At 42.7% G+C, this 16,480-nt stretch overlaps 1 long non-coding RNA gene across 1 annotated transcript; it reads right to left on the bottom strand.

Moving 5' to 3' along the window:
• Positions 1-9,435: 9,435 nt before the first annotated feature.
• LOC100507562 (uncharacterized) lies at positions 9,436-16,153 on the bottom strand. Its single transcript, NR_188506.1, has 2 exons — positions 15,732-16,153; positions 9,436-9,721 (listed from the first exon to the last, which is right to left on the bottom strand). It is a non-coding gene; the product is annotated as an uncharacterized LOC100507562 (long non-coding RNA).
• Positions 16,154-16,480: the final 327 nt, after the last annotated feature.

Raw genomic sequence — 16,480 nt, 5'->3', positions numbered from 1 at the left:
GGTTTATAGTTCTGTAAGTATCAATCCAGCAAAACTTGAATCATGGTTTCAGGCCAAGTCTAAGCTTCTAGGACTGACTTAGATGGGGAATTTAAAGAAGTCGATCTGACTAACAGAACATATGAGAAACATCACAGAGTGACAAGCATGTCCCCAAAGACTCAGATGCCTTTGGTTTTCACCAATAGAAGATTAGGGTCCATCTCCTTAAGCTCCTCCAAACACTGGGAAAAGAGGTGTGTGTGTGGAGGGGGGGTGGTTAGGGCACAGGGTGAGCTTCAAGTGGAAGGAGTATTTGCAGAGCTGTAGTCTGTCATTAAAACCTTGAACCTTTGCTCTTGTCCAGCAAATGGGCAAATCCTGACTCAGATCCTTTGATGGAGGACATGGTGGAGACAGAGTACCCAGAACACCTGTGTGACCCTAAGTGCATTGTTACACAGCAGTGAGGCTCAATATTTTTAAGCATTTCAAAGAGAAGAGAAATGTGGGGCAGCACGGAGATCCTGATCTCCAAAGCCCAAGATTTATAGCCTGTATTTCAGTCTCAGATTTCCTTGTGGGAGAATTTTTGGCTGTTGTGATGATGTTTTGTTTTAATGACCTTTTCTACACGTTTCTTAGTGTAAACTACAAGAAGCCCATGAGCGATGCTGGGGGAAGCTGACAAGCATTCTGCTGGCCTAGGGCACTTTGTCTTGGTGATGTCATTCTGTCCTCTGTTCTAACCTTTGCTGCTCCACTGTTGATTTTTTTCTCAGGCACAGAGAATACGAAAGCATAATTGATATATACACCTGCCCTACCTGGGACAATGAGGGACCCCTGTTCTTCCACAGCCACTTGCTCTCCACATCACACGCTATTTCTATGGTACTTTGTTATAAGGTCCTGTGGTCAGAGATTGTCATATAAACCTATGTCACAGATGACATAATTTGCATATTCACAGAACCATCTAAAAACGACACAAAAATCTGCCAAAGACATAATATATTTTGAAGATGGGTGACTAATAATGCAAACGTTAGGGCACTCCTTGTAAGCATCATTAACTCAAGGATGCTTTATAAAGTACGTATAACATAGACATTAGAGGGTTTTTAAAAACTGTAACAGGAAAAAACGGAAACTAATTATTACAGTTTCATATTGTGAAATTGTCAAAGAGTTGATACGACTTAAAGTTGTTCATGACCCCTGCAAAGCTGAGGCCCAATGAGTTAATTCAATAAGAAAATAGTTTTAGAAAGAATAAGCTGTCCTTGCATCTTAGAATTGTTCCTGTGTCTAAGAACAAGTAGGAGATGGTGAGATTTATGGACAAAAGACTTTGAGTCGAGGTACCTTCCTCCTCACCACATCTGGACACACCTGACCTTAGCCTTTGGCTATGGTTTATTCATCTGATATTGAGAAAACCGCACCAGGTAATTATTTGAAAAGCAGAGTATTAGAAAAGGAAAATTTCAAGAGAGCTGACTCAAAAGAACAGTGGGATAGAGGATATGGTTGCCTGAAAGCCATTTCTTGGCAGTTGTTGCTAAAAACTAGAAGGTTCTGACTTGATTTTAATTGGTAGTTCTGGTCACACTGGGAGCAGCTTTGCCCCAGAGCAATCAGAGGGAGAAGCTTTAAAATGGCCGGAGGTGGCCAAGATGCACAGAGGCTCTGGCAAGTGTAGCAGCTGGGTCTTGTTGCCTACTTGGTAGTTGCCGTTGCTATAAGCTGCTCTGGGAAGACAGCAAAAATGCAAACCACAGGGAGAATTTAGTGGCTGTTTTAATATTTGCTGAGTGTCCATGAAGTACTCTTACTGAATATAAAGAAGATACTGAGATGAGTGACACCACCCCCACTCTGGAGGGGACACACGTGTGAGTAATTATACAGACAGTAAAGCATGACAGCATTGCCTTGATGGAACTAGGGGTAGTGGTACAAAATAAATATGGAAAGATAGTTTAAAGATAAATGATATGTATGGGTTGATGAGTTAGACTTTGACATTTATAAAGCAAGGAACCACTGGATATTTCAAATACAGAATTAGAACTTTGTGTTTCTATACAACTGCCCTGACAGCATCCGTAAAGGTTTGATATAAGAAATGGGGATTTGAGAGAGGCAGGCCTGGTCAGAAGCTATGGCTTATACAGTAGACCAGGAAAAGATAATGAGCGGCACAGTGAGAGTGAGAAAGGAGAGAAGATGTGGGCATCAGAATCTTTTTTATTTTAATTTTATGAATGCATAATGGTTGTATATATTCATGGGGTACAGGCAATATTTTGTTATAAGTATGCAATGTGTAATGTTTGAATCAGGGTAACTGGGATATCCATCATCTCAAACATTTATCATTTGTTTGTGTTGGGACCATTTCAAATGTACTCCTCTAGTTATTTTGAAACATACAATAAATTATTATTAACTATAGTTGCCTTATTGCACTACCAAACACTAGATATTATTCCTACAACTATATTCTTATATTCACTAATTGATCCTTCTTTATCCCCCACTTCCTGCTACCCTTAAAAAGAATGGTAATTCTTAAAAAAAAAAAAAACTTGGTAAGAGACTGTAGGTAATCCATGAAAAAAAAAAATTTGATGTTTTCAGCCCACAGGGAGTAGTGACAAGGAAGAGAGAGAGAGATGGAGAGAGAAAGAGAGATACGGAGAGACAAAGAAGCAGATTCAATAAATATGGTGCCTTGGGATGGTCAAGAAAATGTATCCAGTGGAGAGTTCCATCAAGTCGATGAAACTCAGAAGGATCATCCACTTTGAGGATCAGGATTTGGAAGACCTCAACCTATAAGCATTATTTGAATCTGGGAGATCAAACAGTGCTGAGCACACAGCTGTGTCAATGGCTAGTCCAACTGGCCAATGCTGGGAAAGTGGATGCAAGGGCCCAAGTCTCTATTCTTCCTTTTCATTGTATTATGAAGACAGAAATAACATAGATCTCTTGGAGTCAGCAGAACAATGCTCCCTGCAAAGATGTCCATGTTCTAACCTCCAGAACCTGTGAATAGATTAGATTATATGGCAAAGTGGAATTAAGGTTGCAGATGGAATTGAGGTTGCTAATCAATGACCTTAAAATAAAATTATCTTGGATTATTCAGGTGGACATAATGTAATCACCGAGGTCCTTGTAAGTGGAAGAGAGAAATGGAAGAGAAGATCTGAACCAGAGAGATGGAAGCATCCCAGCTGGATCTTGAGGGAGGAAGGTCTCTTTGAAGACAGACAAGGGGGTCACAAGCCAAGGAATGCAAGTGGCCTCTAGAAGCTGGAAAAGACAAGGAAGTGGATTTTTCCCTAGAGCCTCTAGAAGAAACTCAACTCTGCCAACATCTTGATTTTAGCCCAGTGAGATCCGTTTAGTATTTCTGACCTTCAGAACTGCCAGTCTCTCTCACCTTTTCTCCTGAGGCCTTAACTCCTTTCCACATTTCTCTCTTTCTCCACTCAAAGTGTTTCTCTCTGCCTGGCCAGGTCCCAAGCAGCTGCTAAGATGCCATTATTTGGGGGCTCTTCTGAGTGCAGTAGGCCCTTACCTGGAAGGAACTATCTCCTACCTCCAGGAGCCAGCAGTGGCAGACCCTTTGCTGAAAGAATGTACAGCCTGGCCTCATACCCGGACATGATGCTGTCAGGATCAACACTGGGAAGAGAGTGATCAAAGAATCCACCAGAAGACTGTGATGCAATTACAAAGGCCTCAGACAGTCCCACTGGGTGCTCAGGAGCTGGGATGGTCCCGCCAAACTCTCCCAAATTGGGACAGGGGTATCAGGCCTTTTAACTTCTGTATCAACCAGCCATTGGATGTGGGATACCCCCTGGAAAGGGGATGTGATGTTAAAACAGGCAGCTCTCCTCAGCTGAGGATAATTGTGGAGTTGGGTGTAAGACTCAGCTATAAGCTGCTAGCCATAAAGATCCCCAGTCCTATAGCGCGTATATGGATGGTGCACTACAGCATCCTCTATAGAGGCCAACATTTCCCCTACCATCAGGGTTCCTTCATTCCCCTCCTTCCTCCACCCTCATCTTCAAGGTCCAGCCTAGACATTACCACACCACCACAGCCCCTCCCAAGACACAGGGACCTCTCTCTTCCTACAGAGCCTCAACGTGCATTGCACTTGCCTTATTTGGAATTTTATGTGAGTTACTTCCTCTGCGATTTACTGGCCAGGGTTCTTTCCCCAGTTCAGCATGCACTAAGGACCACCCTTGCTACTTCAACCCTATTCCTCTCCCCGTCCCCTTTGACCCAACCCCCCCGCACCCATCACCACTCCCACACGCACATATGCACACATGCAAGGCAACGCATCGGCCAAACCATATGGCATAAGGCTGGCCACACCAATATAGGTTTGTTAGATATTTGATTGACACAAAAGAAAGAGAAATGGTGTTAGACGTAACTTTAGAACTAGGAGAATGTGCTGGGGTAGCAGGAACACATTTCTTGGATGGCTGATAAAATTCTTCTGCTTCCAATATGACAAATCCAGGAAAGTTGCTGCTGCTTCTAACCCAGCACAGAAATCTCTGCCAGGTTTTGCTGCAGAATGAGCACAGCACTGCTGGAGGAGCAGCAAACCCTTAACATGCATCCAGCACCAGAACTGGGGCAGTTACAATATGGGACACTCAGGCTCTGGCCTCCTCTGCTCCCCAGCCAGGTTCTTCCAGCTAAACCACCTCTTAATTGTATATGACATAAACTTCCAGGTTCTGGGTTCCCTGTTTAATAGTCAAACAAATAATGGTCTTAATTGCTTGTGAAAGACCTGTAAGATTTTAAGAGGAAAAGCTAATGAAATGAGAAAAGAGTAAAGCTGCCCTGGCTTGCCCTATCAGAATAAAGAACCCCACTGGGTTATAGCAGGTGACCCCTGATTTTTGCTTTATCTTTCTTACCTTTTCATTTCATTGGTTATAGCTGCGGGGGTGACAGAGCTGAGAATACCACTTAGTGAGCTCTTATTGGTGTGAAACAGTCTTATTGCTTTGTGGAAAGAAATTGCAGGAAGCATTTTTAGATATTGATATCTGTTTGTCAGAGAAAGTACAGTCATTCATGGAGGGTTTCGACAGGTCAATTTTGCAGAGAGAACCAACAACCTAGAATCTGTGGTTTCATATTTTCAAATGTCTGGCTTCATCTAGGATTCACAAAATGGGCACAGGAATCTTTGACCATCTTTCCCCACTCCTCAGCCTCCAGCCCCAGTCCTGCCCCCAATTTGCAGAAAATATTTTCATGCACTTTAGATCAGTGTAATCACTCATTCTTCAATTTATTTCATTTGTAAATGGGAACTTAGCTGATTTTATTATTCTGCATTATTAAGCATCATCTGTTTCCAGATGGTCTGCAGAGTCTGTCCGAGCTAAGGATGTGTGTCCCTGGGCTTTTGCTAATCAATCACCAGGGGCACATGGTCTGCAGGCTTCACTTTCAATAACTGGTCTGTGTTTTTCCAAATGGATTTACATTTTTATGTTCAAATGATGACTTCTCTGGAGACGCATACCATGAACGTCTGGCTTGCTATTATTACATGTACAAGTCATAAAGCTATGTAATAAGACTCATAAAAACATGCAAATGTTTTTTCCAGTTCTTTTCCAGGGAGGAAAGAAACATGATCAGCCATAAAATCTGAAGCTTTGCAAAGCTGATTGTTCTGCTGGGAAATGATAGGAAGGAGAAGAAAACTTCCTCAGAGATGTCCATTTTCAAATAAATAAATAAATGCATAAATTAATACATAATCAAGCAAGCCTGACGATTCCAGAATTTTGTGTGGACAGGGGAGTCACCTCCAGTGGTTGGGAAAAGAGACCTGCAATGTCCTGTTCCAAGAAAGAATGTGCTCTTCCTGCTCTTCACCATGGACCCCTCTGGAAGCCCCATCACTCATGCTCTCCACCTTGGGAATTCATGCAAGAGGCCAACCTCTCTATTTGCCACTTAGAATTCTTTCTTTCACTCCTCCAGGCCACACTGGTCCCTCCTGACTGGAACCCTCTGACTCATCACACTCAGCTCTCAATTTTATTTTCAGCCTGTGCTTTTTCCTCGCTAGGTGGTTCATGACTTTAGCTCCAAAAAAGATTTCAGGCTCTTAAATAACATATACCTCTCCCACATTTACTGTCCAACCCATATGTCCTGCATACTCTTCAACTCATCCAACAGTTGCTATAATCAGTAGATACTCAATAAAAGCTGCACAACTTAGGTGTTCAAAGCCACTCACACATGGATTCCCTGTATCCATGCGAGCTCACCTCAGTCCATTTTTCATCCTGCAGCCACAGTGAATTTTCTCATGCAACTCTGATCACAGCACTCCCCAGCTTAAATCCTCCCCAAATTATTAACCTGCCCAATAAACCCGGCCACGTCCTGCCAAGTCTAGCTCCTGCCGTCCTCCTCAGCTCCCCTTACATCTTTCTGTCTCAGCATTCTCTGCTCCAAACACATGAAGCTGCTTTCATTTCCTGTATGCCAGGCTTCCTCCTGTGTAAGATATTTCAGTCAGGCTGTTCCTTCCGTCTAAACCCTGTTCCCCCTTCTTTGACAAGTTAGCATGCACTCCATGACCTACTCATCTTTCAATTTGCACTTATTCAATTTTCCTTCTTCATGGAGATCTTCCCTGATCTTCTAAATCACTTTCAACCCTCTGTTCCATGGTTACATGGTACCTGATACTTCTCCTCTGTATTCTTTCCAACAGATAGAATTAATATAATTATTTAAATAATTGCTATCAACCTCTGTAAACTTGGAACACAAACCTGTTTCTTCCCCCATAATAACAAGGACTATACTTCATTTATCACTGCAGCCTACAGCCTAGCGGATCCTGAAATACAATAGGTGCTCTATCAACATGTTTTAATCAGTCAAGGAATAAATACAATAGATGACACATTTCCAGTTGTCCCTTCACCCCTGGTCTTTCCCTGGCCCAGGCATCTTGAGTTTGCGGTAAAATGTTGATCATAGGTACTTCAAAAAATGTCACGCCTGTATCACCAGGTATGACAGTTGTCCCAGGGAGGTTGAGATCATTCTCAGTGCCTGCTCCCTGTAACCTCCCTCAGCCACAGAATTGAGCAACGCCAATGAAGTGAAAAAGCCCCAAGACAGGGAAGAAGTGCATGGGTTGGTGAAACACTTGACACTGCCTGCAGACCCGTCCTTCCTGAATTGCCCTCTCCTCTTGGCCCTACGGCTGCCATGGCCCCCTGGACTCCCTCCTCTCCTTCTGACCTCTCTTTCTCAGCTTCCTTCAAGGGCTCATTGAGCTAAGTCTGTCCTAGAAATGTTTATGGTCTGTTCTTGGACCTATTTTTGGAGCTCTCTCTTCTCCCTTTGATCCTGAGACCTGTATATCCAGCTACCTTCTGCATGTTGGCTCTCCCACAGACACCTCAGTTCCTATAAAAATGAACTTTCCCTCTTCATTCTCCATTCCCAAGCAGTATAAGATAAAACGAAAACTCTCCTCTTCCCCCTACCTTCCCCCTCTCAGGGAATGACGTCACCTTGGGTTCTTTGTGATTCAAGCCAGCCAGCATTGAGTCATCTTTGACCATGTCTCTATCCCTACAACCAATTATTCACCAAATTCTACTGCTAACACCTTCCAAATAGCTATCAAATCTGCCCATTCTCTGCCATCTCCACTGCCTCTGCTCAGTTTAGCACAATAATCTTTCACCTGGACAACTGCAGCAGCTTCCTCTCTAGTCACCCTGCCCCCTCGTAATTGCTCTAACTACAAACCAATTTCCACATCACAGCCAGAGTAATATTTCTAAAATAAAAGTCTGATCAGGCCACTTCCCTGTCTAACCCAACATTGACTCTCCATTGCTCACTCTATTAAATCCATCAGCTCAGCATGGTGTTTTCCTGCCACTTCCTCCCATCAGACTCTCAGGTCCAATCGTCCTGAACCACTTGCCTCCTCACCATGATGTCTGTTCTCTCTGGATTTTTGCATACATTCCTACTTCTGCCTATCCATTCCTACTTGATCTTTAGGTCTTAATGTAGATAATGTCTTTTCTGTGAAGATGTCCTGGTTCTGCCTGGATTAAGGCAGTTATCCCTCCTCCACACTGCCAGAGCGATCAGCCACCTGTGTTGATCCCGTGCTTACTCTGGCAGTACTCACCCCTTTAATCTCGGAGTCTAATCTGTTTCCACCCACTCTCTTAGCTGCTCATTATTAAAAGCACATTGCTCTGGGCTTTCACCAAAGGCACGATCCCTTTGCCCCAAAATCTACAGCCTTAAGCTCATCAAGATAAAGAGGTCAAATAAAACTGACCACAGATAAATGAAGAAACTCAAGTGGTACCTGTGCTTTAAGGCTTATTTTGATTTAGAGGATACAAGTATAGACTTTATTTCACATGGACAGAGAGGCAGATGATAAATTGTGGGTGAGACTTTGAAATGGAAACAGATGTTAAGCTCAATGCCCAAGGCTTGTTATGTGATCCTCGATGCTATTAGATTGTGGGCAGAGACCATGTCTATCAGTGAAACCCTGGTGAAATAGTTGTTGAAAGAATGACCTGTAATTGTAAAAGCTACATATAATTGGTAAAAATCCAAATTGTAAAATTCATTGTGAAGATTCTGAGTTTGCAATATCTTTTTCCTCAATATCCCTCTAGTCATTAGGTATAAATTCTGAAACAATTTCTGGATGAAGGATGAACAGATATAATATTGCTCACTGGGTCATGTCTTACAAGCCTACTGTGTGTCTGCATGAAGCTCTGTGGGGAATACAGAGCTGAACAAGGGAAAGCTATCGTATTGCAGACAAGCACTGAACTGGGAGCTAGAGCTCCTTCCTATAGGACTTTCACAAGCCTCTTATTTTTTCTGAAACTTGGTTTCCTTTCCTGTAAATTTGGGAACATCATACTTACCTTGACAAGCTGCTGTGAGAAGTGAAGGAGATAACATTTTTGAAATCTCAGATTGTTTTAGTCCATTCAGGCTGCTATAACAGAATGTTTTAGTCCATTCAGGCTGCTATAACAGAATACCATGAACTAGGTGGCTAATAAACAACAAACATTTATTGCTCAACGTTCTGGAGGCTGGGAAGTTCAAGATCAGACACTTCTGGTGAGGGTCCATTTCCTAGTTCATAGTTAGCCTTCTTCTCAATATGTCCTCACATGGCCAAAGGGAGGAGGCAACTCCCTGGGGTCTGTTTTATAAGGGCACTAATCTCATTAATGAGGGCTCTGCCTTCATCACCTAATCTCCTCCCAAAGGCCTTATCTCCTAATACCATCTCATGAGGGATTAGGTTTCAACATACAAATTTTGGAGAGACACAAATGTTCAGACCATAGCACAGGAGCTCATAAATATCATTTATTTCATAAAACAAGGTTCCTTTCCTTAGCAAGCTCAGCAGTTAGCAGGAGAGATAGACACGCACATACACAGAACAAAACATAATGCAAGGTGGGACTGAAGTCTTCAGGAAGAAGGACCAGGTGCTTTAACAGAGCAGGCTGTCCTGAGACTAGAGCAGTGGACACTCGCCACCTCCCAGGTTCTCGTTTCCTTCTGACCATCTCGGACTTTGCTCACAACCCCCATCTGGGCTGATGGTGCTGTCGCTGAATTGTTGGGCCTAAAGTATAGCATGTTCCATGTGAAACCAATGAAAGCCTTTCTACTGCCTCTAGTTTTATTATACTGGTGAGTCTCCCTTGGAAAGGCAATTTTGTCTGTAGCAATAAGGCCAAACTAAGATGTCAAATCATTAAATATATTTCAGTCCCCTGACTCTTCAGGTGATTTCTTTCGAAAAGTTTATTTTCTTAGGAATCAATTTTTCCTCCTATAGCCTTCCCTACAACCCCATCCCCTTAGCGTTCCTCTCATGCAGGTGCCTGGCCCTCTGCGAATGCGAAGCTCCCCGCTGTGCTCCAGACAGCACCTGCCTCTGCTTCCACAGGAGTCAGGCACTAGGTAGAAGAAAGAGCTTGTACATGAGACCCAGCTCTGCCCCATCTGGCCTGTCCCCTGCATACTTTGCCTTCTCTGATACTTGAAATGAAAATACATTCCCTGTACCACATACACCACCCCTTCCTGGCCTTCTCCTTCCCAGGTTCATATCCACCTTTGATTAATGGAGTTCTACTCATCTTCCAAGATAACTTGTCACCTCTTATAAACTGTTGGCAATTCTTTTTGAGAGAATGTATTCATTTTGGCCTGCCTTCACCACGCTATGGGCAGAAACTAGGTAATATTCACAGTAATGTGTAATATTTTGTTTGCTCATACCACCATCTACATGATGCAGAAGCTCAGCTCCGTGTCAAGCATTCCCACCAAGACTTTCTGGAAGCTTCCCATGCCGTGTCTCACTATGGCTCACATATGCCCTTGGATAGGTCTGTTCCCAAGGGGAACTCCATCTCTATGTCTGTCTTGGCAGTGTTTTCTACCAAGCTACCAAGCTCCATTGCTTTCTCTCTGAAAACTGGGGTCTCCCCAGGGCCAATTATTACTCCTGTGGCCCCCAGAGCTTCCACCCTGCTCTGAGGACACTGTAATCTCCATCAGGCCCTGTCTATACCTCCCACAACCCCATATACCACCATGTGCTTATTTTATAAATGTTTCCAAAGTGTACTCCAAGGATAAGAGTTCTGCAGAATGCCAACATGTGTTTCATAGATTAACAAGAACATGCTAGATTCCATGATTAAATAAGGAACACTACATTGTTGCTTCTCAAAGTATGGTCCTTGAACCAGCAGTATCAGCATCACTTGGTAGCTTCTTAAAAACGCAGAAACTCAAGTCTCACCCCAGACTTGAATGTTAACAAAATCCCCAAGTGAATCATATACACACTGAAGTCTGAGAAGCACTGATCTAAATTAAACAAAATTAAGCAGATTTCTTTATGCAACTTCCACAGAGCTTTTAATATGCTAGTATGTAGTATAAACTCCAAGAAGCACATAAACTATGCAAGACGAGTGTTCTGCAATGCACATTTTCAGAACACTTGCATTGGAACTTCACCATGCCCAATTGTACTGTGGTCTAGAATGGCTTGGGAGATAAGATCTTTTCTCTTTCAGCCTGTTGATTATATTCCAACAGTAGTATGCTGGCAAATGTTAAATCAGCAGCTCTCCATAGGACAAAACAGTCCTGATTTATAGGACTTGCCAAATTCCATGGTGTAAATATTCGCACCATGGCTGATTTCAAGCTACCATGGTGGTGTCACTGGAGAGCGATGCATACAGTCAGCTCTGGAGAGCAGATAGGAGCCAGCTCCAGCACTACACTAGTGGAGAGTGCCTCAGCCATGTGCCTGCCCCCAGCAATTCATACATGTTTAAGTGGAGTATCTAGTCCAGTTTGTACTTCCCCCTTCCATCTCTTCCATTCACCCTTTAGTGGCAGATACCAGACCGTACTCAGAATTATCCTTCCATGGCTAAGGTTTTCTTAGTAGGACCAACTAAGGTTTTCTTAGTAGGACCAACTTCACCATATTCTTCCTTCATCATCCTTCCCTCAGAATGAGCTCTCCCACCAGATGCCTTATTCTTCCAAAGGAGTGATTTCTGATGCACTAAACCCACCAACTTGCCAGACCTAGTCTAAAAATTCAATGCAGGTTGAGAAACATACAGAGTTGGTGCTCCCATAGCATCATGTCAAGGCTTCCACAACAGCATACATTTGTCATATTGTGTTGTAATTGGCTGCGCTTCCCTTTCCCCTGGATACCATGAGTTCCTTCGGGCAGAGTCCTTGTCTAAATCACCTTTATATCTACAGTGCCCAACATGATAAGTGTTTGAGGAGTGGTAATAAACACAAGAAATCATGCTTATGGGATAGCCTGAAGGTGAAAGGAGATGGTTTACTCCTATTGGGTTTACCTTCCATCCTCTGAGCCTTGCCTTTTCAACTTTATGAGCCATGAGGAGTCCACTCCTAACTCCTACTGTAGCTGGCACTTAACACAAGTGTGCTGAGCATCTACTATGGGCTAGACCCTCTGAGCTAGGCTGAGATAAGTAAGAAGCAGTCTCATTCCATAGGGAGCTAGAGTAAGAAGATGCATGGCCACGTTCACATAGTAAATAAGTGGCAGGGTTGAAATAAAAACCAGATTTCCATATTCCTAGCCTAGAGTTCTTTCTTTACGGATTGCTCTTGGGAGCTGCCCTTTGTGAAACTGGTAATGTTTCTCAGTTTGAATCTTTGCTTGTGCTAATCTATGTCATTTTGGATCTTCCATAGCCTTTCTTGTAGTCCAAATATTTGTGAATTGATTTTCTGAAGATATTTTCTGCTTCCAGCCTTTTGATAAAACTGAAACTGGAATTACATTACCATCTTTCTTACCACAAGAAGAGAAACTGCTGGGCACAGAAGCATACTCCTGTAGTCTCAACTACTTGAGAGGCTAAAGTGGAGAATTGCTTGAGCCCAGGAGTTCGAGGCCAGCCTGGGCAACATAGTGAGACCCTGTCTCTAAAAATATATATTAGAGGAAAAAAAAAAAGAAACCTTTAATTTACTAATTATATTCACTCAACAAGTACATATTAAGTGCCTACTATTGCCCAGTACTGTTACAGGCCCTTGAAAAACAGCAGTGGGGAACTCAAAATGAGTCTATGCCTTCCTGGTGTTTGCCCTCCAGCAAGGACAAATAGAAATAAACAATAAACTTAATTTAAAAGTCGGTTGCCTGTAACATCAGAAAATGATAAGTGCTATGGTTTTACTATGGTCACTTTGCCGATCCCGTCCAATCATCCAGCAATCTGCTTTCAGAGGAACCTTTATAAAACACAAATCTCACCATGCTAGTTCTCTGATTAAAACCCTTCAATTGTTCCCATTGCATCGAGGATAAAGCCCATGGCTCTGATCTTTTGTTACCCCTCCAGCTGGGTCTCTTATCACAGACCCCCCACCTTGTCACCAAACCTGCAAGTGTGCAGGGCCCATGGACACACCATGCTATTTCATGACTTTCAAAGAATCTGCAAGAAGAATCTGTCACCCCTTCTTCTGGGTCTTCATTGAACTCTGTTCTTCATGGATCCTTTGGAATATTTAAGGAACTGTACCACCATGACTCACCTCTGCTTCTGTATTAGCCCCTAACAGCCATGGATCATGTTTGTTTACCTTTATATACCTAGGAACTGTAGGTTGAATACATATTTGTTGATTGAGAAGACTAGCCAATTTGTGATACCAGGGACATGACACAGAGGGTAGCTAATTCCAGGCCAAGGAGGACAAGTAGCCATCTCATTTCTTATGTTCTGTATATTATATAGGTTAGTGAATGGCAAAATATCACCTGCAGGCCAAATGTAACCTAACACCTATTATTGTAAGTTACATTTTATTAGAATACAGTAACTCTCTTTTATTTACATATTATGTACGGTAACTTTCACCCTATCATGGCAGAGTTGAATAATTACAACAGAGACCATGTGGCCCCTGAAGCACAAAATATTTACTGTCTGCATCTTTAAATAAAAAGTTTGCTGACCTCTAATCTAGTCAGAGTTGGTTTGATCAAACTTTTAAAACGTACACAATTTACATAACTTTTCCCCTGGTTACTCCAGAAAAAGGTGCAGGATAGGCCCATAGTCAAGGATTGCTGGGCAAGTGAATATAGAACAGTCCAAAGGAGATCCATTAAAAGATACAATACCTCATGCTGAGCTTTTCAAAGGAAGGCTTTTTTTCTTTCTGACAGGATTTATACGATTCTGTTTAATATCAGAGCTTGACATGTTAAATGAATACTCCATTAAGGAGATTATAGCAATGAGCATATTAAAATGTCCTGCAATGACATTCATCACTGCTTCAACATATATTTATTGAGCACCTAATATATAAATAATCCTTCTTATGATGATAATAATTCTTGTATCAAGCTCAATATTTTAAAAGTACTCCTGTAAGTCAGGGTCGACAGAGAGTGGGCTCTGAGATACAGAGTAGCCTACAGGAAGTGTCTTGGGCAGTGCTCTCAGGATTAATATCTAGAGGGAAAGAAAGGCAAACAGCTCTGGGGAGAGGAACATCTTGCACTGTTGATCTTCAGTGCAATCACAACAGTCTCAGCTGACCCCACAGGGAAATCTGGAGCTGGAATGCTCTTCCAGAATTGTCTGCAGTTGGGCTTTATGTCTCTGCAATGACTGGCCTTTGAGGAAGACTGATTGTGGGAAGGGGGCTCTTCACAGCCAAGGGCAATTCCTGGAAAGGGCAGATAGCTGTGAGCTGTAAGGTGTAAGCCATAAGCTTGCCTTAAGGGGAAGATCAGGGCAGCACAATCTTAGGTCTACTATAATCTACTCTTGTGCCACCTAGAGTCCTTTTATAAAAGTTCCAATATCAGCTCCTCCAGGATTCATGGGGGCCTTCTTTTCCTGGGTAAACTTATAATAGAAACAATAGTCGGTCAAATTACAGCTTCTGCTGCTACAGCTGGTCTCAAGGCCTCAACTGATACTAATCATCTCCATCCCTATTACCCATTCTCAATTGCCTTACCCTCCATCAGCACTTCTGCTACCTAAGTGGCATGATCCAGGCCCTCCTCTCTGAGGAGTCTGAGCCTCTGGACATCATGCCTTTCTCAGGCCATGGCTGCCATCTTTGTCCATTTACCATTAAAGTTAGGCAAAGGGGTGGAAAAAGTATTTTCCCTATCCTCATTATAAAACAGTAGCCTTACCTTCTCCTGATTATCAAGGTCACTTGCCCCTGACTTGATGGCAACTCCTTTCCTTGCCTACTCCCTTTGTACAAAGAGCCCACAATGCCTGGTAGCAGCTGAAACTCAATGTTCAATGGAACTCTTGTCAAGTCCACTGGTACAAGCACATCTCCTTTGGAAATCAAGACCTAATTTTCTAAATCCACAGAGCCCAGAGTTGTGGGAGCAGAAAGCCCTAATTCCAATTCCAACAAGTAGTTTTCTGGGAATGATGATGAAATGGGCCATTTCTTCTTTTACCTCTTGTTTCCCAGACTCATGTATTCTACCTATTTGGGACACAGCATTCATTTACCACTCTGACCTTACCTCATTACCATAGTTTCACCTCTTTTCCTTCTGATTGTTAAGCACTACCACCCTACTTTTATTATTCGGGGGATCTTATGATACTATTACTGTTAGTGAAACTAGTTCTTTATTAGGGACAGCCACCAATAGGTTCTGGGAGATGCTGGTGCCCTTTTTATTTTTTTTTTGATGTATCTCATATTGCTTTGAGAAACAGAGCATCTTCTGTGTCCTCTCACTAAATATAACCACATGGTGGACTTTCCACATTAAATAGTACATAGTATTCTTACATGCTCATTTTTCTGAGACTTTTGATCCACCCTCTGCCATAGCAATTCTGGTATTTCTGCCTTACATGATTTGAGCCATCAGTTTCTTCATGCTTTTCAGAGCCATCCTAACAACATGTTAGAACCCTCTCCTGGGGGTCTTGCCAGGTTGTTAAATTCTGTATCACAGACGAGTGCATTCATATTAACAAATCCTCCCTCATCCAACTTAATGTTGCATCCCCCTCACTTCAGCACTTTCAGAATCCACTCACATATGTATGCAGCTCTTCTGGTTCCTGGAGATCCATACTCCTCCTACATTTGAATTAAGAAAAAAAATAGTCCCTTTACATGTCTAGCACCTTCTTAGCCAATTTGTTCAAACTTTGGATGAAGACATGAGATGAAGTCTGCCTCCAGGGATGCAGGTAGTAACTTCAGGAGAGGGAGCCTTTTGCAGCCAAAGGTGATGCCTGAAAGAGCTCACAGCTGGGGGCCATCAGCCAGCAGAAGTCCTGACATGTAGGGAAATAAGTTCTTCAATAGCAAAGGGAGCTGGCTCTGAATGGCACAATCCAGCATCCACTACAAGTGTTTTCCCAACACCCTCCTATATGCCTGGATGACGATAAGACCTGTCTCCCAGGAGGTTAGTTCCTGGCAGCAGGAGATCTAACAGGTATGAAACTTCTCTAATGGAAAATTGTGCAATCAGACTATTACAACAGAAAGGGAATTCAGAATTCCATTCTGTCATAATGAGGAAACCGGCCTGGTGGTCAAGTGACTTACCCAAAGCTCAGATGGTTTATGGCTGAGACTAAAAGCTAGATTGATCTTGAACCCTGCTCCAGGCATCTTCTTGAGGTAGCTTTTAGCATCAGTTTACCCTTTTATAACACCTGTTCAATTCAGAGGTGGTACATAAATAGTAAGATGAAGACTTCTAGGAGCCCAAATTCCCATCCAGTAAACTACTTACACCAGGGTGAGGTGGGGGATGAACTCCCCCATTAGGCGC

Source organism: Homo sapiens, chromosome 2, assembly GCF_000001405.40.
Source record: "Homo sapiens chromosome 2, GRCh38.p14 Primary Assembly".
In the NCBI taxonomy this organism is placed as follows: domain Eukaryota; kingdom Metazoa; phylum Chordata; class Mammalia; order Primates; family Hominidae; genus Homo; species Homo sapiens.
The sequence above is the reverse complement of the archived record's forward strand: the minus strand, read 5'-3'. Positions and strand labels throughout refer to the sequence as shown.